Source organism: Homo sapiens, chromosome 19 (assembly GCF_000001405.40).
Source record: "Homo sapiens chromosome 19, GRCh38.p14 Primary Assembly".
NCBI lineage: Eukaryota > Metazoa > Chordata > Mammalia > Primates > Hominidae > Homo > Homo sapiens.
Genome location: NC_000019.10, coordinates 54,132,527 through 54,159,907, shown reverse-complemented (window position 1 = coordinate 54,159,907; position 27,381 = coordinate 54,132,527). Strand labels below are relative to the sequence as shown.

At 57.0% G+C, this 27,381-nt stretch overlaps 2 protein-coding genes and 1 long non-coding RNA gene across 33 annotated transcripts, besides 1 other annotated feature; 2 read left to right on the top strand and 1 right to left on the bottom strand.

The window, feature by feature from the left end:
• Positions 185-854: an enhancer, noted in NCBI's record as "H3K27ac hESC enhancer chr19:54662792-54663461 (GRCh37/hg19 assembly coordinates)". NCBI's record gives its function as "activates a minimal SCP1, AML or CMV promoter by ChIP-STARR-seq in primed H9 embryonic stem cells {active_cell/tissue: H9 hESC(primed)}" and the evidence as "EXISTENCE:reporter gene assay evidence [ECO:0000049][PMID:30033119]".
• On the top strand, positions 187-4,747 carry LENG1 (leukocyte receptor cluster member 1). Its single transcript, NM_024316.3, has 4 exons — positions 187-344; positions 1,447-1,626; positions 2,883-3,145; positions 3,968-4,747. Exons 1-4 carry the CDS (start codon positions 213-215, stop codon positions 4,185-4,187), a joined length of 795 nt encoding a protein of 264 aa, NP_077292.2. The 5' UTR covers positions 187-212; the 3' UTR covers positions 4,188-4,747.
• Positions 4,227-22,146, bottom strand: CNOT3 (CCR4-NOT transcription complex subunit 3). 30 transcript variants are annotated; one of them, NM_001440662.1, is made up of 19 exons: positions 21,915-22,146; positions 20,395-20,632; positions 16,905-16,979; positions 16,722-16,789; positions 16,392-16,466; positions 16,159-16,248; positions 15,774-15,902; positions 15,576-15,671; positions 14,091-14,313; positions 13,865-13,998; positions 13,251-13,307; positions 11,373-11,760; positions 11,165-11,288; positions 10,150-10,348; positions 7,583-7,682; positions 7,282-7,480; positions 6,909-7,041; positions 6,068-6,193; positions 4,227-4,599 (listed from the first exon to the last, which is right to left on the bottom strand). In NM_001440662.1, the coding sequence occupies exons 3-19, from the start codon at positions 16,927-16,929 to the stop codon at positions 4,501-4,503; spliced, it is 2,265 nt and encodes a 754-aa protein (NP_001427591.1). In that variant the 5' UTR covers positions 16,930-16,979; positions 20,395-20,632; positions 21,915-22,146; the 3' UTR covers positions 4,227-4,500. The 30 variants fall into 30 exon arrangements, 28 of the variants coding, with proteins under 28 accessions (NP_001427591.1, XP_047294833.1, XP_047294834.1 ...); NR_199730.1 differs by lacking the exon at positions 20,395-20,632 and having other exon boundaries at positions 6,826-7,041; positions 14,091-14,366; NR_199731.1 differs by lacking the exon at positions 20,395-20,632 and having other exon boundaries at positions 6,068-6,411; positions 14,091-14,310.
• On the top strand, positions 7,681-13,329 carry LOC102724273 (uncharacterized). Of its 2 annotated transcripts, XR_001754001.3 has the most exons (4): positions 7,681-8,194; positions 9,230-9,951; positions 10,734-10,880; positions 13,157-13,329. It is a non-coding gene; the product is annotated as an uncharacterized LOC102724273 (long non-coding RNA). The 2 variants fall into 2 exon arrangements; XR_001754002.2 differs by lacking the exon at positions 13,157-13,329 and having other exon boundaries at positions 9,790-9,951; positions 10,734-11,147.

Sequence of the window (27,381 nt, the reverse complement as noted above, 5' to 3'; positions counted from 1 at the left end):
GGTTGCTAGGGGATACCACGAGCCGAACGCCTAGCATTCGCTGTGATAAAGGGCGTCTCAGCCAATCACCTGTCGCTACAGGCCAGGGGGCCGTACCAACTAATTCGGAACCAATCCGCGGTCGAAGTAGGGACAAGAAAAAGGGGGGCATCCTCTCGCCAATCGGAAGTGCAAAGAGGCGGGCGTGCCAGTCCCTGGACAGCTACGACGCCATGAATATCTTGCCCAAGAAGAGCTGGCACGTCCGGAACAAGGACAATGTCGCCCGCGTGCGGCGTGACGAGGCCCAGGCCCGGGAGGAGGAGAAGGAGCGTGAGCGGAGGGTGCTGCTGGCTCAGCAAGAGGTAAGCTCGGAAGCCGGCAGGGCGGCGCTCCGGGGCCCAGCGCGCAGGCGCCGCGGTTGGGGGCCGGAAGCGGAGGCGTTGCGCAGGCTCAATGTGCCCCGTGTGAAATTCGGGACCAGGCGCCGATCCCACTTTCGAGGACGTTGCCCCGCAAACCTTGTGCCCACTTCCACGAAACCTTCCTTGATCTCGCCCTCGTCTTAGTTTTTCCCCCACTGATGTATTTCACATGGCTGGAACAGTGTCTAGCACAAAAGAGAAGCTTAACATTTAATGAATCCGTGAACCCTTGGACAGTTCAAGGAAATTCGGATCACTTTTTAGTTTGCCTGCACAGCCTATTTATTGAGCATCTACTGTATGCTAACTACATGCCGTGCACCTGACTTGCGGAATCCCCAATAAGCACTGTTCGTTCTTAGAGGGGCACTGTCATCTCTGTTGCACGAAGTGAGATGGCTTCAGTGAGGGGAAGGCACATTTTAAGGAGAGGCGGACAGCCAGGCTCCACGCCATCGGGCGAGCCCTTTCGTGCACCGCCCCCTAGACACATACACACAAACACGGGCTTTCCGTATGGCTCTTTAAATCTGTTTGGTGTACACCCAACTTTCATTTCCTTAGCTAGTCTGATCCTCCGCCGTGGGTGGGAGGTAGTCTAGGTTTTTAGAATCTCAGTAGGCTGCTGAGCGCTGTTTGAAATCCGCGTCCTGAAGGCAGGGGACAGGGCTTCAGCAGACTTGGGGTAGTCACTTGGAGCCATGGCTAGAATTCAGATCGTCTGGCCTAATGCATACCTTTATGGCTGTTTTAATTGTCTCACTTGAGGTTAGGAACCCCTTTGGTTTAGGCCAGGGACCTCCTCCCATACATCCTTGATGACCCGTGGTTTACTATTTGAAAGGGAGTTTACAAAACCCAGGCGTTGCCTCATCTGCCTACCCTCACCCCCAGCTAGGACAGGTGCCTCTTTTAGGCGCCTAGTGCTCCCTTTCTCATAACCCCAGCACCCTGGACTGCCATTTTCTGTGGTGGGCACCAGACTCACAGTTCTTGAATTACCTCTAGGTTCTGAATGTCCTGCCTATAACTTTCTCCCCAGGCCCGTACAGAATTCCTACGGAAGAAAGCCAGACATCAGAACTCACTGCCTGAGCTTGAAGCAGCAGAGGCGGGAGCCCCAGGTTCTGGCCCTGTGGACCTGTTTCGGGAGCTGCTGGAGGAAGGGAAAGGAGTGATCAGAGGCAATAAAGAGTACAAGGAAGAAAAGCGACAGGAGAAAGTAAGCTGGCCTCACCCACTTCATCAGAGGGGCCATGAATCGAGTTGGAGGGAGGGGGCACTTTAGCCATTGGTTGTGACCAAGGTCAAACAAGAGTGAACACACAGAATTTAGGACCATACCAAGGCATGACACTCAAAAAGCGTTGGCTATTGCCGTCTGGGCGCCCACAGGGGTTGGAGGTAGATGCTAGAGGTCCCCAGCTGCTGGGCAAACCGCTCAGTTCTCCAAACTGGAGGAGTCTCAAACCTGATGGGCTTTTAAAAATTTAAATCAGCCGGCTGTGGCTCACGCCTGTAATCCCACCACCTTGGGAGGCTGAGGCGGGTGGATCACCTGAGGTCAGGAGTTCAAGACCAGCCTGGTCAACATGGTATCTCTAAAAATACAAAAAAAATTAGCCGGGCATGGTGGTGCGCGCCTGTAATCCCAGGGAGGCTGAAGCAGGAGAATCGCTTGACCCAGGAGGTGGAAGCTGCAGTAAGCCGAGATTGCGCCACTGCACTCCAGCCTGGGTGACAGAGCGAGACCCCATCTCAAAACAATCAAACAAAAAGTGAATCAATCGCCTCTTGCTTTTTGGCTAAGATCAAGTGTAAAAGGTACATCAGTGGCTGTGCATGGTGGCTCACGCCTGTAATCCCAGCACTTTGGGAGGCCAACGTGGGTGGATCACCTGAGGTCAGAAGTTCAAGACCAGCCTGGCCAAACATGGCAAAACCCCGTCTCTACTAAAAATACAAAAATTAGCTGGGCATGGTGGTGTGTGCCTGTAATCCCAGCTACTCGGGGGGCTGAGGTAGGAGGATTGCTTGAACCTGGGAAGCAGAGGTTGCAGTGAGCCGAGATCGTGCCACTGCACTCGAGTCTGGGCAACAGAGCGAGACTCCATCTCAAAAAAAAGAGGTACATCAGCTCTTGTCATTTATCTGCTGTCTCTGGACTTGCTGACCCCACCCATCGCTCCTCTGCTTTGCTTGATCCCTTCAGGCTTCTCTTCAAGTCTCTCTGCAAAGATGCCTGCCTCTGAACACTCAAGTGGCTCCACTTGTCCCCTCCTTCCCCTGCTGTTACTGTACCTGCTACTGTCCCCCCAGGGGGAGCTTTGCCTCTGTTTGTCTTCCATCCCCAGCACCTGGTCCAACTGGTTCATAACAAGCCTTAGATACCTGTTCGCTTAGATACCTGTGTCAGGGAGACACACCTGACACCTTGAAAGATTATATCACATCTCTTGTATTTCCTGGCCCCCTCAGGAGAGGCAAGAGAAAGCTCTGGGCATCCTGACATACCTGGGCCAGAGTGCAGCGGAGGCACAGACTCAACCCCCTTGGTACCAGCTACCCCCAGGGCGAGGGGGCCCCCCGCCCGGCCCAGCCCCAGATGAGAAGATCAAGAGCCGTCTGGACCCTCTGCGGGAGATGCAGAAGCATCTGGGGAAGAAGAGACAGCACGGCGGTGATGAAGGCAGTCGCAGCAGAAAGGAAAAGGAGGGGTCTGAGAAGCAGCGACCCAAGGAGTAAGAAGACCCCACCTCGGCAGACCAGGGCCCAGACCTTCAGGGCTTGGCAGCAGCCCAGCATGGGCACTGCAGCGTCTCTGGTCAGGACAGCCAGGGACTCCGTGAAGGGCTGGCTAGGTGGAGAAGTGGTTCTCAGCATGTGGTCCAGGGAGCCCTAGGGGTCCTGACACCCTTTCCCGGGGTGCTGTGGTGTCAAGCCTATTTTCCTGACACTGGTGGACTTTTCCACTCGTGTTCTCAGGCATGTAGTGCAGGTTTCCAGAGGCTGTGTGATGGGGAGACACCCTCACTCTGATGGCCAATGGCAGATGCTTGTGTCCAAACTTTCTTAGTTTTCACTAATGATTTGCAGCATATTAAGAGAACCCATTTAAACAAAAGCTCTTGGGGTCCTTGGTTTTTAAGAGTATAAAGGGGTCCTGAGACCAAAGAGTTTGAGAGCTGCTGGGTTAGAGAGTAAAAGCAGGCTTCTGTCTCCAGGATGCTGCACCCCTGGTCTAGAGGGGGTACACTGCCTGTAGTCTTCTTTCCTCTAGAAAGGGAAACTGAGGGCCAGGGGGCTGCTAAGTGTGCTTTCTTGACCTGGAGAAGCATCAGATTTTAAAGACTGGGGAGGACCAAAGCCCACAGAAGGGAAGGCCAGAGACGTGCCCATGGCGTCCCAGCACCAAGTGGCTGCTTCCAGCAGGCCTAAGGAGCTGAGGCTGGGGTGTGCTGGATGCAGCGGGGCTTCCAGGCGGCAGCTCCCTCTATGGGAGAGGTTGGGGGAATGGCCTCCTAGGGGCTACCAGCTTTCTGACCTCACTCCTCTCCCCACAGGCCTCCATCCCTGGACCAGCTTCGAGCTGAACGTCTGCGGAGGGAAGCAGCTGAGAGGTCTCGGGCAGAGGCCCTGCTGGCCCGGGTCCAAGGCCGGGCACTACAGGAGGGTCAGCCGGAAGAAGACGAGACGGATGACCGGCGGCGGCGGTACAACTCCCAATTCAACCCCCAGCTGGCCCGGCGCCCCCGCCAGCAGGACCCTCACCTTACTCACTGACTCCTGAGGGGGTACAGGAGAGGCCGCTGCTGCCAGCCGTCATATAAAACTATTTATTCATAAATATTTTCCAAAATGAAAATAGGTTTACCAAAAAATGTCCCTCACTGGGGAGGGGAGGAGGGGGCAGCCCTCGCCCCCGGGCCCCCAGGGTGGGGCTGAGAGGAAAACCTCCCGGCCCCCTCCCTGCTTCCTGGGAGAGGGGGATGCCCCGTGGCTTGGGGCCTCCCTCCAGTCTTCCAGGGCAGGGCCCTCACCTGGGCAGGGGGATCAGCATGCGGGGGAAGGGGGTGGGTAGAGGGAGGGGCCGGTGTCACTGGAGGTCCCGGTCCTCCAGGTAGCGGTACTCAAAGGTGAAGCCTTCCTTCTTCCGCTGGCCCCACTTCTCGTAGTCAAAGTAGATGTAGGTGCCCTGGCCGGGGGAGAAGGCGGTCAGTGAGTGGACGAGGAGGTGGTCTGGGATCTGGGCCGGACCAACAGACAAAGGGGACAATTCTTAGGGCTGTGGATGTGTCAGGCACCGGGCCAGCTGCCCTGCACGCACACACTCTCATCCATCCTCACAAGGTTCTTCTTGGGTAGGAAATGTTATCATGCCACTTCAGCGAGGAGGAAACGGAGGGGGCCGCAGAGGTTCCACCGAAGCCAGCTGCCAGAACGGGGCCCCAGCCCCAGGTGTGAGTGCACAGCCTTCGTTTCCTCGAGGGCTGTGGCTTTTGAGCACCTCTCACGTGAGTACAGGATGCACAGCCTAGCATTTAATCTTCACAAAGACCTCGAGGCAGTGGGTACTGTCACCCTTGTTCTAGAGAATGGAACAGTCTCAGAGTCTAAATCCAAGCACTCTGCAGGGACATTTTATTGGTGACGAAGTGGTGTGGGAATTTCTGAATGACTGGATGCCCTGAAATGTACTAACTTGGAGGATGGTTTTGGGCCAAACCAGGAAAGGACAGGAAGTCTGTGGTTAACATCTGAGGACACAATGGGAGAGGACCTAGGTTCTAAATGAATGTCTTAAGTGCTTCAAAGATGGCAACCTGGGAGAACCAGGAGAGGGGACTGAGTTCTCTGAGGACAAGGACCTTGTACTACTTCATCCCCATGAAGGGGCTCGGCATCAGGGAAGTATTTGGTGGAAAAAAACATCACTGTAGAACACACCAACTGAAAGTAATTTGAAAAAAAAAATCCATGACACTGACTATGTAGCAGTCACCATTAAGTACTTACATGTTATTAACTCATTTAATCTTCATAACAACTGCATTAGGTAGGTGGTCTTCCCCCCATTTTTACAGATAAGTTAATTGAGACACAGAGGTTCGAGTGACTTGCCTAGAGTCGCCCAGCTGGACTGGGCTGAAACCCAGGTAGGTTGGTTCCAGAGTGTTTGCAAGCAGCAGGAATTTCCCAGTATTAGAACTTGAGAAGCCCATTCAAAAAAAATAGTTTCCGCACTGAGCCCCTGCCCTGCTGAGTGCTGGGACCTGGAGGTGAAGTGGGGGCCATCAAGGTCCCTCGGCAGCAGAGCCCACAGCCTGGTGCAGGGACACATACTGGGAAAATCCCACACCCCAGGCGAGTGTGCCCAGCACTGCAAAGGGGAGGCACTGGGCTGGGTGGCTCCAGGAAGGTTTCTTTGAGGAAGGGACATTTGGGCTGAGACCTACAGGAGGCCTAGGAGCTGGCCAAGTGGAGGATGAGAGGGCGGTGTTCCAGGCTGAGCAGACAGCCAGAGGGAGGAGTACTTGGTCAGGCTGAGGGACTGCGCCAGCTGAAAGGTGGAGGCAAGGGAGCAGAGGCCAGCAGGGGCTGCCTGGAGCCTGGGGACTCTACCCCAACCCTAGCAGCGGGAAGAGAGGGGGCGGGGCCCTCACCTGCTCAAACTCGTCAGTGATGGTCTTGGGCTCCTCGTGCCTCTGGAACCACATCATGTACTTGGTGTGGAATCGCCATGACTGCTTCTTTAGGGCCTTGGCTGCCAGATACTGTGCCTTAGTGCCCTGGGGGAGGAACAGTGGAGAGGGGGATCAGGGGGCCCCCAAACTGGGTGGGGAGCCAGGGGAATGGGGCAGGACATCAGGGCTGAACCCCGGCCCCCGCCACAGACCACAGTTGGGCTGGACAATCCTCTTGGAGATGGGGCTGGGGGCACAGAACATACCAATGCTGATCAGGAGAAGGAAAATGAGACAGGAGGTGAAAATTGCTTTCAGAGAAGCTTTGAGAAGGAAGAAAAACTAATGTGTGATGAGAGCTGAGAGAGGAGGCAATTTAGAAAATTTCCCAAGTGGGGATGAGGGTGGAGGTCACTCATGACTCACTGGGGTTGGGAGGGGGCTGGACAGCTCCCCAGTGGTCTCCAGGGAGGCCTGAGAATGTGCCAATGAGCAGAGTGGGGTCGGCCTAGACTGGGGCTGCTGGAGCAGGGCTGGGGAGGGGCCGCGGGTGAGCCAGTGGGCAACTGGAAGCGGGGCTGAGGTGTGCCTCAGTGGACCAGCCTCGCTGTCAACCCAAGCAGTTCTAACATCTCTGGGCTGGAAGGCGGGGACGGGGACAGGTGGATTTGGGGCAGGGGCCCAGGAGTGGGAATAGGGAGGGGGTGCGGTCCCAGTGGCCGCAGTGGGGCACCCACCTCACCCCTCCAGCCCGAGGGGGGACGGCGGCGGTGGCGGCGAAGCCGGGGGGCCCGAGGCTGCCCCGGGGGCCCTGCTGTACCTCCAGATAGTAGAAGATGAAGAAGAGTGTCTCGGTCGACAGGCGCTGGTAGAATTCCACAGTGTCCGAGTGTGGGGGTGGCATCTGGTGGTGGTAGGGGGGCGTCGGACAGGGGTTCCGGGGGAGGTACTGCCTGTGAGAGCAACAGGAAGGTCAGTGCCAGCTGCCTACTAGTCCTGTCGTGATCAAAAGGGTGCTCAGACATGCATCCCTGCGGGGGGAGGTGGTACAGAAAGACCCAGGGCGGTGCTGACCTTCAGTGGAGAGCCCAAGTCAGGGGCCTGGTGCTCTACCCACAGCCTCACAGGTTCAGCCACTGCCTCCTCCGTAAGACTCAAGTCCCAGACCATCCCCCTTCCCTGTGGCCCCTCACCGAATACGCTCAGAGTCAGAGGGGTGAGGCATGTGGTGCCAGGCGGCCTCTTCCATGGCCTGCTGATAGAGCTGCTCCTTGGTGAGGGGCACAGGGCCCAGTGGACAGACACCCAGCGACAGCGGTATGTTCACCTCTGACAGCTGCAGGGGCGGCTGGGCTGAGGCCGGAGGTGCTGATGTACTGCTCAGGATGATGTCTGTGGGGAGGGTGGGGGTCCGGCCCCCTCAGTGGTGAGGATGGGTCAGGGGCAGCCCCTCCTCTTTGGCCCGCTGCTTCCCCACCATCCTGGGTCCCTCACCTCGCTCGGTCAGGTGCAGCGTTGGCACAGGGTCCTCAATGCCAGAGCTGATGGCTGCCCGTTCCGCCATGGACTTCAAGGAGCTCAGAGGCTCAGGGGCCTGGGGAGGAAACAAGAGGCCTGGCCTGAGCACTTGGGCTGCAGGAGCAAGTGCAGCCTGACACAGGCCCCAGATGCTCTCACCTGCCCTGTTTGGGGGCCGTGGAGGGCCAACGACCCACTCCCCACAATCTACCCATGACAGGTAAAAGCATCAAACTGTAGGGAAACAATCGGAGACCACGACGCATTCATCAGCAGAGGAACGTCTCGTGAGTGGGACTCTGCAGCATGGAATACTACGCCGAGATTTTCAAAATACAAGTTCGTGACATACTACAGAAGTAAACGCCAACCTGCAGAATATGTACAGTGCGCTACCATTTTTGTCAAAGGATGTGCCAATAGTACACGCTCCTTCACTAGGGACACCTACACGCTGGGAGAGCTCCCGCCTGTCTTGAAGGAGGCAGGAGGTCTACATGCTCAGCTGTCTGCCTGTGACTGGCATGGGGTGACTGGAATCGGGGTGGGCCCAGCCCGGCTAGGCTTCAGTCTCCTTGCTGGAAACAGGTAGGTTGGGTCTCCAGCCCCGCAGCCACAGCCTCGTTTCCTATTACAAAGGTTACAGCAGGCTTCTGTTCCCCAAAGTCAGGGCTGGTTCCTCCCATCTCCTCCAGCCACGTGCAGCTGTCCCAAACCCCAGCCCTGTGCTGGACTCTCCACAACGAGTCAGTCGCCAAGGCTTATCCATCCTGTCTCGCTATATCGCCCAGGCAGGTCTCAAACTCCTGGGCTCAAGCTATCCTCCCGCCTCTGCCTCCCTAAGAGCTGGGATTACAGGTGTGAGCCACCACGCCCAGCTATCCGTCCTGCTTCTAAACCCCACTGGATGGCTCCCTTCCCTGTCGTGCCACCATGTCCCACACAGCCCAGGCCTGTCCTCTCCTGCCCAGACCACCCTCCCTCTATCCTGTCCTCACCAGCCCCAGGGGACCTTTCCAATGAAGTCATGTTGTTCCTTCTCTACTCCAAACCTTGCCATGGTTCCCGACCACCCACCCCAGCGATTCATTTTTGTTGTTGGTGGTGTTAAAAGATATGGACCCCTTCTGAAAATCTCAAAGCTGCTGTTTCCCTTTTTCCAGAAAAATGCACGCACTATAAATATCCTGTCCACCTACTTCTAAAATTTGGGCCGGGCACGGTGGCTCACACCTGTAATCCCAGCACTTTGGGAGGTCAAGGTGGGTGGATCACCTGAGGTTCGGAGTTCAAGACCTGCCTGACCAACATGGCAAAACCCCATCTCTATTAAAAATATAAAAATTAGCCTGGCGTGGTGGCAGGCGCCTGTAATCCCAGCTACTCAGTAGGCTGCGGCAGGAGAATCGCTTGAACCCAGGAGGCGGATGTTGCATTCAGCTGAGATTGCACCACTGCACTCCAGCCTGGGTGACAGAGCAAGACTCTGTCTCAAAAAAGAAAAAAAAAAAAAATTAATGCTTCTGTTGGGCCAGAAACTGTTCCAAGAGCTTTATGAGGATGATTTAGTCTTCCAAATAACCCTACATAGTAGGTATAATCGTGACTATTGCCGTTTCCCAGATGAAGGCACAGAAAGGACAATGCCAAGACTTGGACCTGGACAGCCTGGGCGCGCACACTGCCTCCTGGACAGCCTGGGCGCGCACACTGCCTCCTGGACAGCCTGGGCATACACACTGGTCCCCCCATGGAAGCTGCGCTACAGTATACTGGCTCACAAGCCAAGCCCCAGCTCCTGACCCTCGATGATCAGGACCCCACCGTCCTATCCTGCTACACCCACTATCTCAGCCCTGCAGCTGGTGGCACTGTCTCCTGCAGAGTGGACACCTCTCTCCTCTCTGCTGCATCCTGCCCAGCTTCCTAAGCACACAGGCAGATGCATGCTCCTCCTAAAGCACCTCCTGAAGCCCTTCCTGCAGCTGTTAGCCCCCCTGCCTGGTCCAGGTCTCAGCTTAAACATCACCCCCTCTCAGACCTTCCTGGGCCTGTCTCCCAGGTCAGGTCAGATGCCCCTCGGTGGGCCCACCGCAACCTTCCCTGCAGCTGCCCCAGCAGGGAAGCTTCCTAAAGGGTGGAACCAGGCTGCATTCACCCAACCAGTCTTTCTACTTGTGCAGAAAGTACACCAGTCTATGCCTTGTGAGGACAAACGGGGACAGAAACTGAGGGCCTGCGGGGGGGATGAAGATGGAGACCCAGAGAGAGCAAGCAACAAGTGCAACCAAGAGAAAGGAAAAGAGACCCAGAGAAACAGAGCTTTGGAGGGAACAAGAGAGGAGGTATGAGAGCCCCCAGAGATCAAGGTCACGGGGAGGGTGGTACAGAAAGACCTGGAGAAAGAGCAAGTGTGAGAAGGGGACAGAAAGCCAGAGAGAGATCCAGAAAGAGGGTGGGGGCAAGGGGTGCAGCTAGAGACCTGGAGGAAAGAAACAACAGAGTCAGGACACAGAGGCTCGGGGGATGTCCGAGGAGCCCACCTTGATTTCTGGGGCGGTGCTGAACTGTGGAGGCCCATTGAGCAGGGCACCGGCTGCCTTGGCATCACTGAAGCTGGGCGTTGGGGAGCTGGGAGGATTCACAGGCAGTGGCACCAGGAGGCTGGGTCCCCCTGAGTTGTTCCCTGAGCCTGGGGCCACGCCCCCAGCCCCCGTTGGGGCTGCCGCACTGGGTTCCTTCCTGGAGAGAGAGCATGGAAGAGGGGGTTGAGAGGAGGGTCCCTGAGGGTGGGATGGGCAGAGAGGCCTGGCTGGAGAGAGGGGAGACTGCACAGATCAGATGGGATCTGAGAGGGGCAGGTGAGGGCAGACAGATGGGAGAAAGAAGTGGTTCTCTGGGCAAACAAAGGCAGAGCCCAATCTTTGGAATGGTTTCTCATCAGCAGAGCAGAGCTGTGGGGGTGGGGGTGAGGATTCTCGGGTGCTCCACCAGGCCACAGGCTGATCAAAACCACTTGCCCTGGGCAGGTGTTCACAGGGCCCACTCCCCCTTGGGCAGGCCAGCTGGAGCTGGGGTGAGGGGGCAGGAAGCAGGCCTTTCCTTTGTGCACACTGATCTTTCTTAGGGCATTCTTCGGGAAACAGGCAGACCCAGTGGAATGGTCTGAGCTAAGATTTGAAGGAGTGGCTGCAGAGGAATAAGGACTTCGGGACAATTCACTTTGAAAAGTGAAACAGTGACCCTCCGGTGGCAGTCAATTGGCCTCAGGCAGGTAACAGAAATGGGGAGGAAAGGGTATGGGGCTCTTGAGAAAACTTCCACTTAGATGAGAACGTATTTTAGAATGTTCTGAAGGGCAAAGCAGGGAGGCTGATGTAGTTTCCTTGCTGGAAAGAAGTGGGGGTGTAACACCCGAGGGAGATGGAGGATAGCGCTTGGCCATTCCCAGCAGCAAGGGCGGGGGGTTCAGAACCCACCGATGCGGGGGTGAGGCGCCTGCGCCTCTCTGTTTCAAAAGGCTGCCATCCCAACCCTGCCGATGGCCGAGACACTCACGAGGTGCTGGGAGGTGGGTTGTGGGGGCCGGAAGGGGGGCCCAAGGCCTGGCTGCTGGCATTGTTGCCCCCACTGCTGCTCAAAGCCACCTCTGCCGGGCTGTCTGCCACAACTGAGCTGTAACCTGGGAACAAAGAGTAAATGGAAAGGGCTGCTGCCTGCTGCCCAGCCCCGCCCACGCCCCCCACCCCGCTGCCTCCTCACTCACTGGTGGCGCCATTCTGCTTGCCAGCCCCTCCACCGGCACTGCTGTTACTACTGCTGCTGCTCCCTCCGCCTCCGCTGCCGCCGCCTCCGCCTCCGCTAGGCTGGACGCTGGGGGGCCGGGGCTGGGTCGTGCTGGGCCCACTGGGAGCTGGTGGGGCCACAGCCTGGGCATAGGGAGCAGGGGTGCCCGAGTTGTGGCTGGGAGCTGGACTGGCCTTGGGGCCCAGGGCACTTGGGGGTGCTGCGGGGGCGGGGACCCCATTGTTGCCAGGAGTGGTGCTCAAGGCAGAGGCAGCAGGCGGGGGGCCGGAGGGGTAGGTGGGCGGCACAGCTGGGGACTGAGGGTGCTGGTTGCTGTGGACAGGCTTGGAGCCGTTTTTGGCTGGAGACTGCGGGTGGGAGAGAGCAGAGGGTCAGGACCCAGTGGGCCAGCTGGTCTCCCTCACCACCCCCACCTCAGGCTCCATCTTTGTCCCAGCAGCCTCCTCTCTGGCCTCGCTGCCCCCACCTGCTCCTGCCCTCTTGGGGACCTGGGTGACCTTACTCACCCTCATGGCTTCAATCACCTTCATGCTTAAAACACTCACACTGATTTCCAGCCTGCCCAGCTTCCCAAGTCCTGCCTGGACACCGCCCCATGGACACCCCCACAGGGATCTGACACACAACTTAGGTTGTCAGCCAGAGAAGATCCATCTGTTGGAAGCCAGAGGACTAGTGGGAAACACTTAAGTGTTCTCAATATGAGATTAGCTGGAGCCGCCTAATGTCCAAGAGTAGAAGGAAAAACAGCTGGAAATTGGATAGTAATTCTGAATGTCACCTGAAGGGTCACAGAAGCTACTCACAGGGCTGGAAGTTACCAGCACTCCAGAAAGTGGTGGGAGGGTAAATGTGCTCATGGTATCCCTACCGCAGGCAATCTGCGGACAGCACTCGGGCTGCTGAGCCTAACCACCTCCTGGGCTTCTTTCCAGCCACCCCACAGGCACCTTGCGCTTACCAAGCGCCCAACAGGACTGACTACCCACTTCTCTCCTGGGCATCGCTGCTTGGCAGTGGGGGCCTGGGAAGGTGGCAGAGCCCAGCCTGGCCCCTGGAGTACCTGCCTCAGTGTCTCTCCTCATCACCTCCTGGCCCTGTTGCCCGCCCTCACTACTACCTGCGGGTCCCCTTAGTCTCCACACCAGCCTCCTCAATGCCCACTCAGGGTGTCCCCTTGGAACCATCCATCCCGTTAGCCCACAGAGGGGCCTCAGGCCCATGCTGCTCCTGCCTAACATTGTTCTGTAGCAGCGTTTCCGAAAGCGTGCTCCTGTCCTGGGAGATGTCAAAGGAGTTGAAGAAGCACTGCCCGCCACCGTCTCCTCTCAGAAATTTGCAGTGTGTATTATCAGCACAGCAAAGGCCCCATCGCTTCCTAGGCTTATTGGACTCTGGAGGCCACTCAGGTCCACAAAGCCTGAGCCCCTCAGCCTGACAGTCCCAGTCCCTGTGCTCACAGTTGGGCCCCTGGCCCTGCAGACCTGGCCAGACTCATCTCTCCTCACTTCCAAACTTTCTGTCACAACTTGCCCATGTTACTGGCTGCCACCTCTCCCTGCCAGGCAAACTCACCTGACTGTGAAGCCCAGGGCACTCCACAGCAGCATCTCCTGACTGCCTGGCCAGGCCAAGGGTGACCTGTGTGCTACCCCCTTGACCACAGCACCAGTCACCTGTCCACTTGCCCTGCCCACCTGCCCTCAGGGCAGCACTGATTTCTGAGCCACCTGTGTCCACCAGCCCAGCACAGTGGCCGGCGCTCAGGCCTCAAGATGCCTTTGGGAAGCAACAGAGGAGTGAATGGCGTGCCCACCCGGTCCAGGCTCACACCCACCTGGCTGACTTCACTGTCTGTGGAACGTCCCCTCTTCTTATCATCTTCAGAGTTTTCCTGAGGTAGGGGAGGCAGAATAGAAACCTGTGTGACCTCTGGGGCTCTGATGGAGAACCGCCAATCTCTGAATGCCCCGGGGACCTGGGCCCAATTGACTGCCATTGCGGCCCCAGAGCTGGTCAAATGGCTGTCCTTAATCTGCCTGGAGAAACCATCTCAATTCAGGCTCTCCAGTCTTCTTGTTTTCTGGGAGCCAGCACTGACCCACCAGCCTCTTAAGGATCTGGGAACCTGCTCTCCACAGGGAAGCCAACCCTTGGATCCCTGCCCAAGGTGGCCAGCTACCCAGCCTCCTCAGGCAGCCCAGGCACCGGCCCCTCCCACTTCCCAGATCCAGGACCTAAACTGGCGCGGGATGCACCCTATTGCTCTTTATGTCCTTTAGGGACCCAGATATAGGACCTTAGCGTGTGCTCCAAGAGCCTAGACCCTGGATACCTAGATCTGTGTTTCCTCAATTACGCTCCCATAGCCACTTTGGAGTGACCCAGATTTGTCTCCTCGAGTCCTGCCCTGCTGGAAACACAAGGTACTAGTGTCCCGTGGGGCCTCACCGTGGTACAGTTGGCTGGGCTGGGCGGGATGGGAGAGCTGGAGGTGGTTGAGGTGGGCGTGCTGCTGGACTGGTTGAAGATCTCATCCTCCATGTGGCTGTGGCTGGGGGGGGAGGTGGCGACCAGCGCCTGTGCTGTGGGGGCAGAAGAAGGGCATGCTTAGCTGGCTCACACAGCCCATTCTGGGCCCTCACTTCCTGTGCCACGATCAGCCCCAGGGCCTCACGAATGTCCTCGAGGTCCAGGTCATCGTAGAGAAACTCGTTCTCCTCGAAGTCGGGGTCCTGGGATGAGTCAACATAGTACTCAACGTCGTCCTTGATCTTGCGGATGGCGTCAACGAGGATGGAGTCATTGTCCAGCATGCGCAGGATGGTCTCTAGCATGCGCACGTGGTAGCGGTGCTTCTCGATGTGCCGCTTCAAGCCCTCAATCCGGTCCTGCTTCTGCTGGCGAGCCCAGGGCCAGGCTCAGGGGCTGCAGAGCACCTGCTTGGCCCCTCCTGCCCCCACAGAACCTGTCCTCAGTCCCTGACCCCTGTGGAGACCCAAAGCCTCCACGCCATCCCCTTCGGGGTGGGGCAGTATGGGGTCCACCCACCCTCTGAGCCCTGTGGGGACCAATCTTAGCCTTGACATCTTGGGATCCCACTGCTCCCTCCTCTCCCCACACCTTTCTGGCTCCAGGAGTCCTTGGAAACCTCTAAAAGACCCAGAGGTCCTTGTGCCATCCCACGACTTGGCCTCCATCTGCACCTCACCTGACAGCCCAGATTTCTCAACTGAGCCCGCCCACCACTGTGACTGCCTCTGGCATACAGATACCCTCCGACCTGCTCCAGCAGTAACAATGATAACCCCCATTTGTGAGGAGCTTGCTGTTTAGAATTGTGATATCTGTCATCACTAGGCCCCCAACCCTACCCATTTATCCCTGAGAGAGCCCAGATTCCTAAGCCTCGCTCCTGCCCTCCCCTCAAGGCCCCTTTAGGATTTAACATCTTAGCCTTGGTTCCAAATCTCTGCTCTGTTCAAGGACCCATCATCTCCCCGAAAGCCCCTGGTTCCCAAACCCCTCAGAGTCTGACACCCAACCCTGTCATCTTCCACTTCCTGACCCTCTCCCACCCACAGCTTCCCTGAGGACCCGGCTCTCCCCTCCCTGTCTTTCTGGTTTCAGCAAGTCTGTACAGTTTGTATCCCTTTGAACTCATACCCCACAATCCCGGATTTTAGAACCTGGGACCCCAACATCCAGCTTTGTCCCAGACTCCTGTCTTCCTTCAGGCCTGGTTCTCTGCCTTCTCCATGTTCTGCCTTGTCTCTACCCACTGTGCTCTCCCTAGGACCAGGGCCCTCTGGGTGCCAGGAGGCCTCTTGCCATGGGTGTCCTTCAGGTCTCACTTTTACTCTGTGGCCCAAGCTCAACCTGCACTCACCTTCCCCCAAGTCGCTCCTCTTCACAAAGGCCCCACGGTCTACCCAGACACCCAGGGGACCCTGAGATTCTGTCTGACCTCCTTCCTGCCCCACGCGTGCAGCTGCTAAGCCCTCCCAATCCTGTCTCTCAAATCCCTAATCCCGGCTGTTGGCCCTGTCCGCCTGAGGAATCCAGGCCCCAACTCCCAGGAGCATAAATGACTGGCCTCCTGCTGGCCAGCCCATTCCCATGCCCATCCCCATCCCAAAGGTGTCGGGTCTCCCTCACTCACATCCTTGTCGCCCTTCTTCTTGCGTGTCTGCACTGACAGTGACTCCACTTCACTCTCAAACTGGTCCACCTGCATGTTGAGCGTGTCGATGGTATTCTAGGGGAGGGAGAGGAAGAGGAAGCCCATCAGCTAGGGTTCCGCCTACACCCAGGGCTCAGGATCCTCAGAGTTCACCTCCTCTTCTCTACCCCAACTCACCGTGAGCCACTGGCCAACCTCTTCCTTCTCCTTCTGGGCAGGATCTACCTTCTGGGCCAGGCCCAGGCCCTCTTTGCTGTAAGCTTTGGTTTTGGTCTCTCGTTCCACAACTTTGAACCGTTCCATTTGCTGTAGAGAGTGCAGTTGGCAGGGGGGCTCTCAAAGGTGGGAAAGGAGCTGACTAAGGGCCAGCAGACACTCCGACCTGAGCCTCGTGACCCTACTTTCTGAGCTCTGAGTCCGCTGCCTCTTCACTTCCCTTAGGTGCAGAAACCTTACTTCTCTTGAGGACCTCTGGGGTCTGGCCGCTCTGCCTCCGCCCCTTGGGATCTCAAGAATCTGGTGACCTTCCCACCTCTCTGGGACTCAGGCTCTGGGCTCCTACCGTCTCAATGAGCTTGCGGTTGTCTATAAGCTGCCTCTTGTCCTTGATCTCGTTGGACGCTACCCATGTCTTGATTTGGTCCCTCAGCCGCTGCAGATGGGAAAAGCAAGAAAGTCAGACCTCAGGACCCAGGAACTGGGGCCCACAGCTCCTTCTCCCTGGGACCCAGCAGTCCACTCTCCCAGTTCCCTCTACCCTCAGGACAAAGGCGTCCAGGCCCCCAGCCCCCTCACTTGTAGCTTCTTAATCTCCTTCTTTAGGTCAGCCTCATACTTTTCTTTCTGGTTCGCGTTGGCTGCATTGTGGAGCTGAGGGATGGAGAGAATTGAGAAGTCAGTGTGGGAGGGGATGTCCCAGTACCCACTCCAGTGATTCTTCCTTATGCTAGGGACTCGAGGACCCCCCCCAACCCCTACCCCCAATCCATCTTAGAGCTGATTCTCTTAGGTCCTCAGCATCTGCATATGTAGCCCCTCCCGCTGGTCAACACCCAGAGGTCCTGAGCCGCCTTCCTGTGCCCTCCTCTCTGAAGACCCAGATTATTAGGGTCTCAGCCCCTGTACCTTCTGCCAAATATCTTCAAACTGCTCCACGCCCTCGGACACCTTCTTGAGGCAGCGATCAATCTCACCTGGCCAGGGAGGAACAAGGCTGTGAGAATCCTGCCCAGGTGGCAGGTATCTAAAGAGCAGTCCTCAGAAGAGGGAGCATGTGGCTACAGGTGCAGCAGGAAGTCAGTCTAGTACCTTGGAGTTTGCGCTTGTCCGCCATCTTCCCTGCCCTACAGACGCACTCTCTTCATACTCTCTTGGAGACGGACGCTGCTAGGAGAGATTGGAGAGGAATTAACACGTATTCCCTGGCTGGTAAAAACCCAGAGACATGGACCTAGTCAGCATAGTGAGGTAGGTGGGACTGGTAAAGAGAAGAAGCATTTGCTATCTGACAAGAGACCAGCCCCAGTTCTCCTGATGCTCGCTTGACTGCCCAGCATAGTGTCTGGCCAACAGGGGACCCCATAAGTTTGTTGAAACAAGAAAAGTTACATACTTTTTTGTGTGCCTCTGACTCAGGAAGTGGAAAATTCCTAGAGCATGGAGTACCTTCTCCCCAGAATACACTCAAAAAGGTTTTTCAGAGCAGGACAGTCATGCTGCACACAGCTGATGACTGGGATGGAGGCATTAGCCCTGGAGATCACACTTCCTACTCAGAGGGGCTGGGCAGAGGTGGCTAGGAGAGGTCATCCCTCAGACAAGTCAGGAGACAAATGAAACTGGCAGCTCACAGAGAAGGGCGTGTGTGTGTGTGTGTGTAAGCTGTAGGTAGGAGAAGAAAGATTGGGGGTGGGGGAAAACGACGGCGAGCAGAGATGCCGAAAGCTGTGAAGAGCTGAACCCGCTCATGCAGACAGGGCTGAATGCCAAGTAGAAGGGACTCAAACCACCAAGACATTTATTCCAGAGCAGGATCCTTAAACCAAAAGGAAATAACACTCCTAACCCAAAGAAGCTAATACCAAGAAGGCTTAGAGATTTGGGGGCAGAAGGCAGTACCCAAGAGAGACCTGGGAGAAGACAGAAATCTTACTAAGATAAGAGGGTGCAAAGGTACCGCAGCTGTGAGGGAGCCGATCTGCACTCACGGAGGAATCCCATAGCAAGTGGATTGGTAATTTAGAGTCAGGGAGACATAGACCATCAGGGCAGGAACCCAAAACTTCAAGAGAGGAGCGTCTTTATTTTAAAGGAAGTTACCTGGAACCCAGAGAAGACTGAGGTCAAAAGGGAGTTCCAAGGAGCTTTAGTCCAAGGGAAGACATACCTTAGGGCCTGACAGCGAGACCAGGGGAGCCCTGGGAAGAGAGGCTTATGCCTCAGAAGAAGACTTCTGAGATACCAGCGGAGATTGCCCTCTTCCCCTCCAGGGAGGGGGCCTACAATGAAAAGCACAGTTCCCTGGGATCCACGGGCCGCTCCCACTCTACGTGTGCAGGGCAGGGAACCCTGGAGTAGTCACTTACTGTAAAGACAGAAACAGCCCCATACTGAGGAACAAGAGCCTCAATACAGAGGGAAGTCACACCAAAAGAGTCCTCACCCACAAAGAAGGGAACATCTGGCAAACAGTGCTATCCAACAGAACTTTGCAATGCTGGAAACACTCTATTTGCGCATATCTGTTGGCCACTGAACATCTGAAATGTGGCAAGTGTAATGGAGGAACTGAATTTTTCATTTTTAACTAGTTACTAATCACCACATGTGACTAGCAGCAACCATATGGGACGGATATGCTTTAGAACAAGAAGCCCACAAAGGACAGGGCTGGTACCTTACCCCCAGGGAGAATTTTCCCAACACCGCAGGGACCCATTCTGGGTGATAATAGGTAGGGGTGCTACCTTACACTTGAGGGAATTTAAATCTCCTCAGTAAAAGGCCCAACCTAAAGAAAGCCGCAGCAGCCCCCGCCCAGGTCAGCTATCACGCCCTACCTGGGGAATCTCTAAGAAGGCAAAGCAACCAACAAAAGGACCCAGGAGAAGGTGCCACAGTGGGGATTCAGGCTGAGGAGGGGAAAGCCTCTTTGACCCAGGGAGCTCACACAAGGCAAGGGCCTGGACACCAGAGCTCAGGTGTGCAGGGATCCTCACCAAAGTCCAACACCCCAACACAGAAAAGCCTCTTACTGCATAGGGGGAACAAGAATGTGAAACGAGAGTTTACACTCCCTCTTTCCATCCCAAGAACCCAACAGAGGGTCATGGGCAGGTGCTCCAGCCCAGAGAGAGAAGAGGTCTCATGGTCTACACCCCTAAACAAGGCAATCAACACCTTAGGCAGGTGACGCCCTCCCTGTGTCTCCACACGGAAAGGACTGGTATCCTAGTGCAGAGGAAGAATACCCACAGACAGGAGACCACACTGTGGCAGCAAGAGAAGGAAGTCCTGGAGGGGTCACAAGCCAGGAGGAGGGGAACAAGAGCGCTAACCCAGGGAGGTGATGTTTCAGACAGAACAGTGTGACATCGAAGTCGGCTACAGCTGAGACCCAGTGAGGAGGCAGCTCCTCCACAGAGAAGGGGCAAGTGCCAGAGGCCCAGGGTACTTGTCCCCTAGAGAGGCTGGAGCCTTAGCCACAGTAGAGACAACACCTTCCCCGCTAAGAAAATCCCTATATCATGAGGGTATCTGTACCTCTGGTCCCCCCAGCAAAGGACCAGAGAGAAGGGAAGCTGGAGCCTGAGTCTCGAAGCAGAGACGCCGCCAGAGAAGAAAGAGCCCCATTTGCTGTAGTCAGGGGGGCATCCACCAAGATCCTCCAAGGAAGGTGGTGATCGCAGGTCCACTCTCAGGCGTGAAGAACCTGTGCTCCAGCAGCAAAGGCTCTCCAAGAGCACTGAGGAATCTGGGAACCTCGGCCCAGGAGGAGACTTACCCAAGAGGAACACACATCCCCACAGGGAAGGGACCCACAAGGCGGGTGGCGGGGTGGGGGGAGGTGAGCAGGACACCAGCCTCACAGGAGCCAACACGCTAAAATCAGAGCCAAAACCAGTAAAGAAGAGCCCCCCAGACTTCATCTCAGGGAAGATGATACCACCACACAAAGACTCGAGGAGGGAGGGGCAGGAGGTCAGCCCTGGGAAACTAACACCGGGTGGTCCTTAACCTTGGGGGCCGTCATGTGCCCACAGAGTGGTCTTTGTCATGAGGCACCTTTGATCTGGGAGAGCTTCCGCCTCTGCAGCAAGGAGCTCTGAGAAGTGATGTTGAAGGGTGATCCTTAACCCAGGTGGCTGCTGACGTGGCCACACAGAGGCTCTGAGACTCCAGAAGAAGGATGCGTTAGGGCCTGGGGTAGAGGTAGTCATCTCCACTGAGATGCCCCATGCCAAGGGTGGGGGGCTGGAATCTCCCACCTTGGAAAGTCTACACCAGAGAAGTCTCTGGTCCCAGGGACAGGGTCTACAGTGGAGTCTCCCGCTTGAGACTCAGGTATCTTACATCCACACAGCCAGGAAACTATGCCTTACCCCATACAGTGACAAATCAAGAGGGGGTTTTGGAAGCATTAGCCGGGGGCACCTGCATCCGAGAGGGGTCCTCAGCCTTACGGTGGGGACACATGCAGAGGCGTGGACACCTCAAATCCAGAAAAGCAGCCATACCAATACCAAGGATGGCAAGAACCTTATCCCTGGGGGAGGTGACACCAAGAAAGGGTCCTTACCCTGGAGAGAAGGCACAGCCCCAGAGGGAAGAGCCCCCACCTCGCAGTACAGGAACCCGGGTCTAGGAAGCTTCCTACTCTCATGGGGTACCAGCAGCGGGGCCAGAAGGCGAAACCCTTGTTCTCCAACTGCTGACACCCAGCGTAAGGGTAGATGGGAAGTCAACAAACCCACAGTGTGGGATCTGATGCAAATATCAAGGGCAGTGGGCTTCTTGGTCCTTGGAGAGCTGACACCCTAAAGGAGGAGACTGGTGTGAAGATGGAAGAAGCCTCATACTCAGGCAGGGGTGAAGGGAGGGAGGGGAGACATCAAAACCCCTCACCAAAAGGACAGGAGAGCTCACCCCGGGGTGGGTGGCCGCCCTGCACTGAGAGGCAGGGACTGCTCAGAAAGAGGGGCTGGTGCTGCCCGCAGTGGGAGCTCACTAACATGGACAGCGTGGCGGCTTAGTGTCTTTCACCAGGCACCTGAGCGCCAGGGGATCCCAGCAGCCCCCAGCAACAAGACCACAGTGGTCCTGATATCACTGGGAGACGCCCACACCCAGAAGGTCGGAGAGTCACGATGCAGGGGAGTTCAAGGCTGCAAAGCCAGGGGCAGACGCCAGGATCAAAGAAGTGTGAGAGCTGAGACCAGACGTGGGCCACACTGAGGACGGTCCTGTACCCCAGGTGGGGGAAAGCCAAACTCCCCCAAAAAGGCAGGCGCCCAGTGCAGCGGGATGGCGAGGCTGGAGCCACCCAGGGCGCTACTCGCTATGAGAGGGAAGAGCTGCAGACTACAGAGGTGGAAACTTCGGCAAAGGCTCCAACTAACGGGGAGTTTCTCCTCCACTCCTCTCCCAAGAGGCTCCCATCCGATACAGACGGGCAGCTGGAACCTGAGATCCAGGGGAGGCTGCGCTCCCGGGAGCAGTGAGGAGGGATGCGGAGGGCGGCCTCGGTCCTGGGAAGGGTGACTCCCCCACCCAGCTGGGGTCCTCGTCCCGACCACCACCCCCCCTCCCCGCCACCGTCGAGGGAGAAGCCCCGGCGCGGAGGCTGCCCCACAACGCGAAGGACCGAGGCCGAGGGGGGCAGGCACCTGAGCCCCGAGAGGGCGGGCACCTGGGACCAGGGGCGCCTCCATCCTTCCAGCCAGGAGCCAATACCGACGCGGAGAGGGGCGGGCACCTCGCGCCCGGGAGGCTTCGCACCCTCACACCCCTACCGGGGGGCCCGACGCGATGCCACGCGGGGAGGCGGCGGCGGGCGGGGCCCGGGGTCCGGGTCGCGGAAGGACCCCCGGGAGGCGCTGAGGAACGTGAAAGAGGCGCAGGAACGGGAGGGCGAGAGGGAGGGAGCCGCCCCCCGCCGGGAGCCCCGCGCTGCAGAGGCGGCGGCAGGGGGCAGGCGAGGGGAGGCCATGTCGCGACAGACGGCGGTGTCGCCAGGGCGGGAGGCGGCGGGGAGGGCGGCCGATGGCGCCGGGGGGAGGAAGGGAAGGGGTCCGGCCCAGTCGAGCCTGACGCTCTCACCACAGGAGCTGGCGCCGCCGCTGAGGAGCGTATCGCGACAGGCGGGGGAGGCGAGCGCCCGCCGCCTTTTTCTCGCGCCCCGGGCCCGGGCGCTATCGCGATAGCGGCGCGAAGCGGAAGTGGGGTTGGGGGAGTGGGCCCGGGGTTGTTCTGACGACGGGGGTCGGGGCTCAAGGGAGGCCGCGGCGTCTGCCGATGGCTCCGCGGAAGCTGACCGGGCCCGGTCCAAGATGGCGGCGGCGGAGGAGGCCTCCCCTCCTCTCTTCTCGTCTCTGGCGCCGACCCGCCCCCGAGTCCCGAATATAGGCCAGTCATTGCTCCCGCTGAACGTCGCTCCTGACCCTTGGAGGCTTTCTATTGGTTCCTGGCAGGGATGCGCCCTGCCCCCTTTCGCGGATTGGGTGATCGCTCCAAGGCGCGGCGTTCGATTGGCCTCCCGCGCAGGCTGCTAGGATTGGCTCAGGTTTTCCTCCCCGCTCCTCCTCCTCCTCCCGCCTCAGGGCACAACACGCCAGCGCGAGGACCCGAACGTCAATCAAGAGACCTGTGTCGTGCTGATTGGATGTATCCGCCCCCCTCTCTTAAAACAATTGGTCTGGGGGAGGAGCTACGACAGTCCAGGGGCGGGAAGTCGTCCGTCAAGTTTAGAGCTCTTTTTAATTGGTTGCGGGGGCATATTCTGCCTTGAAGTCATTGGTTGGTCCTGGAAGTGGGTGGGGAAAGCGGAGGAAGGCATGGAGTGTGGGCGTTAGGGGCCGCGTACCTAATGGGAGACAGACAGGTGCCTTTAAAGCGGGGGCCGAGCCGAAGTCATCTGCCAATCAAAACAGCCACAGGGCCAAGTGGGAGGAGCTGGGCAAGAAAGTCCACCCCTTTTTCTTCGTTGGCCCTAAAAGTTATCATTCATGCTAGTTGGACCAATAGCGTGGCGAGTGGGCGGTAGCTGCTCGTAGAGCGTGTGAAAGAGGGTGTATGTAGCTGGCAGAAGTGGGACTTGGTCGCAACCGTTGCGTCCCGGCCAGGTAAGCAGCTTCCCTCTCAGCTGCCTCGTCTTTCTCCAAGTGCCTCTATGTTGGCACATCTCTGAAATTCATTATTTGCTGAGTGAAAGAAGAAAGGGACCAGAGACACTGCTTTAAGTCTCTGGCACCGTGCATAGCAGAATTGGTTGGGAAGCGTGAGGCATGGAGTTTTTGTCCTGCCCCTGCCTGGTTAGGCGACCAGATGGTGGGACAGTCATTCTCCTCTGCGTCTCCGCTTCCTTAGTGTGTTGAGGACGCTGCAGAAGGTACAGAGGAGACGGGTGGCTCCCTAATGCCTGCTCGTTTCAGGTCTCAGCTCTGTTGTCTTCTTGGAGAGAAAACTTCCCTGACCTCCCTCCCGGGCGGAGCGCTCCTGCGCGCCTTGTTCGTTAGGATTTATTTTTGTACGTCTACCGTCATTTTCGTAATTATTCGGTTTCCCTGTCTGGATTTTGCATCTCCAGCACTTAGCACGCAGGAAGTAGTCAGTAACCATTTGTCAAAGGAATAGATGAATGAATGTGAGGAATGACTTGTGATTGAAAACTTAACTAGACACTGAGACTTCCACGAACTGGGAGGCATTTGCCCAGGGTCACACAACCGAGATGGGAAGCCAGATTCGCCCCTTCCTGTCTAGGTGGTGGAAAGTAAGATAAATCCCAGGGAGAGGTGAACGTGAAGGAGGATGGAGCCGTTCAGCACCACCCGCATCAGAATGGTCTGAGGCAAGGGGGAGGAGGAATGCTTGCGAAAATGCATATTCGTAGGCCCACACACAGACAACGGGAATGAAGCCTAGAGTTATTGTTCTAGAGCTTTGCTATTCAAACTGTGGCCCCTGGACAAAGTATCGCTTCTCAGACATCTCCGGAATCACCTAGGAATGTGTTAAAATGCAAATTCTGCTTTTCTAACAAGTGCCGCAGTCCACGGTCCGCAGTTCACTTTGCACACCGCGGATCTAGCGATGACTTTCCAACTTGGCTGCACATCAGAGTCACCTGAGGAACTTGTTGTTATTGTTGTTGTTGTTGAGACGAAGACTTGCTCTTGTCCCCCAGGCTGGAGAGCAGTGGCACAATCTAGGCTCACTGCAGCCTCTGCCTCCCGGGGTTCAAGTGATTCTCCCGCCTCAGCCTCCCGAGTAGCTGGGATTACAGGCGCCCGCCACCACGCCCGACTAATTTTTGTATTTTTAGTAGAGACGGGGTTTCACCATGTTGGCCAGGCTGGTGTCGAACTCCTGACCTCAGGTGATCCGCTCGCCTCAGTCTCCCAAAGTGCTGGGATTACAGGCGTGAGCCACTGCGCCTGGCCTACCTGAGGAACTTTAAAAAAAAAAAATTTTTTTTAAATTAGAGGCCAGGCCGGGCCGGGAGAATCACTTGAACCCGGGAGGCAGAGGCTGCAGTGAGCCTAGATTGCGCCATTGCACCTGTAATCCCAGCACTCTCAGAGGCCGAGGTGGGCGGATCACCTGAGGTAGGGAGTTCAAAACCAGCCTGGCCAACATGGTGAAACCCCGTCTCTACTAAAAATACAAAAATTAGCTGGGCATGGTGGCATGTGCCTGTAATCCCAGCTACTCGGGAGGCTGAGGCGGGAGAATCACTTGAACCTGGGAGGCAGAGGTTGCAGTGACCCGAGATTGCGCCATTGCACTCCAGCCTGGGTGACAGAGCAAGACGCCGTCTCAAAAAATAAAAATAAAAAATAAAAAAGTCCAGATACCCAGGCTTACACTGGACCAACTAAAACGATCTTGAGGTGGGAGCCAGTGTCTCTCTCACCCAGGCTGGAGTGCAGGGGCGCCATCTCGGCTCACTGCAACCTCTGCCTCCCAGGTTCAAGCCATTCTCCCACCTCAGCCTCCCAAGTAGCTGGGATTACAGGCGTGAGCCACCGCGCCCAGCGTAAGAGCCGCTTACAGAGTCTTCTTTTCTAGAGCAGTGCTTCTGAAATGTGGCCTTGGGTCAGGCACGTACCCATCACCTGGGAACTTGTTTGAAAGGCACATTTTTGAGCCCCACCCTAGACTGAATCAGAAACTCTGGGCCCAGCAACTATGTTTTAACAAGTCCTCAGTGTAATTCTGAAGCGCATTAAATTCTGAGAACCTCTGTTCTGAAAGTACGAGGGCTGCAGGCCCAGGCGACTCAAGATTCCTTTCCTGAGATTGACACCCTCATGCCACAGCCCCATTGGTAGATGCCGGATATTTTGGCCAAGGGAGATGGGGGATTCTGAACAGGGTTGTGGACCACGGGTCCTTCCCTGGCAGACCAGTATGTAGAGATCAGCAAAGGTTGTCATTTTCAAACAGGGTTGACCCAGAGGGTCAGGGATAACATTGAGAAAACAGACTTGAGTTATACAACCTGGGGTAGTTCAGCCACTCAAGGGAACCTCCTGAGTGTGTCGACTTTTTGACTTGAGGAAGGAGAGAGATTTAGAGATTGCCACTGAGGTCCAGAGACAGAGCTCTGGGTTGAAGGACAGGGATCCAGAGATACACAGAGTGGTGACGGGGAGGCCCAGAGAGGGGAACAGAAAGAGCAAAATCTCAGACAGGACCTAGAAAGTCAGAGGGAGACCCAGATAGCATGAGCTGGAGAGAGGGAGGGAGAGAGAGAGAGGGAAGGTGGAGAGAGGGAGGGAGAGAGGGAAGGTGGAGAGAGGGAGGGAGGGAGGGAGAGAGGGGAGGTGGAGAGAGGGAGGGAGAGGGGAGGAGAGAGGGAAGGTGGAGAGGGAGGGAGAGGGAAGGTGGAGGGAGGGAGAGGGAAGGTGGAGGGAGGGAGAGGGAAGGTGGAGAGAGGGAGGGAGGGAGGGAGAGAGGGAGGGGAGGTGGAGAGAGGGAGGGGAGGTGGAGGGAGGGAGAGGGGAGGAGAGAGAGGGAGGGAGAGGGGAGGTGGAGAGAGGGAGGGAGGGGGAGAGGGGAGGTGGAGAGAGGGAAGGTGGAGAGAGGGAGGGAGGGGGAGAGGGGAGGAGAGAGGGAAGGTGGAGAGAGGGAGGGAGGGAGAGAGGGGAAGGTGGAGAGAGGGAGGGGAGGTGGAGAGAGGGAAGGTGGAGTGAGGGGAGGTGGAGAGAGGGGAGGTGGAGAGGGAGGGAGAGAGAGAGGGGAGGTGGAGAGAGGGAGGGAGAGAGAGAGGGGAGGTGGAGAGGGAGGAAGAGAGAGAGGGGAGGTGGAGAGAGGGAGGGAGAGAGAGGGGAGGTGGAGAGAAGGAGGGAGAGAGAGAGGAGGTAGAGACCTGGAGGCATCATCTTCCCACCAGGCTGCTGCTTGTCCTGGTAACATCTCTTAGGTAACTAACAGAAGCCCGACCTTGTAGGTCAGGTGACTAGCGCTGCCTCCTTAGTACCACCGTGTAGCCCAGCTCCGGAGCACATAGTAAATGGAACCCCTGGAGTTGCTCTTCCTTAACCTCTCCAGGGAGACGGTTTCATGCCACCCGCTAGGACAGCCCCTGCTGTCCCCTGGAAACTCTCCTGACTGTCTGCAGGCCACATTCCCCTCAGTCCAAGTAAAGGCGCTCCTGGCCGAGCCCCGGTTCCCGAGACTCAGTGACTGGAGGTCAGGGGAGGGGAAGTGTGCTCCTTCTGCTCACCTGGCAGGACTTTTATAGCAACCAGGTCCTACCAGGGCAGGAAGCCTGCCTGCTTCGCCTGTGCCCGGCTCCACACAGTCCCTCAACACTGGTTATAAATAAGAGGCTGGGCCAGGCACAGGGTAATCCCAGCACTTTGGGAGACGAGGCAGGCGGATTAGTTGAGGTCAGGAGTTCGAGACCAGCCTGGCCAACATGGTAAAACCCCATCTCGGCCGGGCGCGGTGGGTCACACCCGTAATCCCAGCACTTTGGGAGGCCGAGGCGGGCAGATCACAAGGTCAGCAATTCAAGACCAGCCTGGCCCAAATGGTGAAACCCCGTCTCTGCTAAAAATACAAAATTAGCCAGGCGTGGTGGCGGGCGCCTGTAATCCCAGCTATTCGGGAGGCTGAGGCAGGAGAATCACTTCAACCTGGGAGGCGGAGTTTGCAGTGAGCCAAGACCATGTCATTGCACTCCAGCCTGGGTGACAGAGCAAGACTCCGTCTGAAAAACAAACAAACAAACAAACAAACAAACAAACAAAACCCATGGGCGCCTGTAATCCCAGCTACTCAGGAGACTGAGGCAGGAGAATCACCTGGACCCGGGAGGTGGAGGTTGCCATGAGCCAGGATCATCCCACTGCACTCCAGCCTGGGCAACAGAGTGAGATTCTGTCTCAAAAAAAAAAATAATAATAATAATAAGAGGCCAGACACAGCGGCTCAAGCCTGTAATCTCAACACTTAGGGAGGCTGAGGTGGAAAGCTCACTTGAGCACAGGAGTTCAAGCCCAGCCTGGGTAATAGAGCACGACCCTGTCTATAAACAATTTAAAAATGGGGCTGGGGT

Bases quoted from the DNA above. Each gene is read 5' to 3' on its own strand.
- LENG1 (NM_024316.3), top strand. From the start codon at position 213: ATGAATATCTTGCCCAAGAAGAGCTGGCACGTCCGGAACAAGGACAAT. The intron at 1,627-2,882 runs GTAAGCTGGCCT...TGGCCCCCTCAG, and splicing joins AAGAAAAGCGACAGGAGAAA to GAGAGGCAAGAGAAAGCTCT. The intron at 3,146-3,967 runs GTAAGAAGACCC...CTCTCCCCACAG, and splicing joins GAGAAGCAGCGACCCAAGGA to GCCTCCATCCCTGGACCAGC.
- CNOT3 (XM_047438866.1), bottom strand. From the start codon at position 16,929: ATGGCGGACAAGCGCAAACTCCAAG. The intron at 16,467-16,721 runs GTACAGGGGCTG...TCCATCCCTCAG, and splicing joins TTGAAGATATTTGGCAGAAG to CTCCACAATGCAGCCAACGC. The intron at 11,761-13,250 runs GTGGGTGTGAGC...TCCCACCCGCAG, and splicing joins CAGACAGTGAAGTCAGCCAG to TCTCCAGCCAAAAACGGCTC.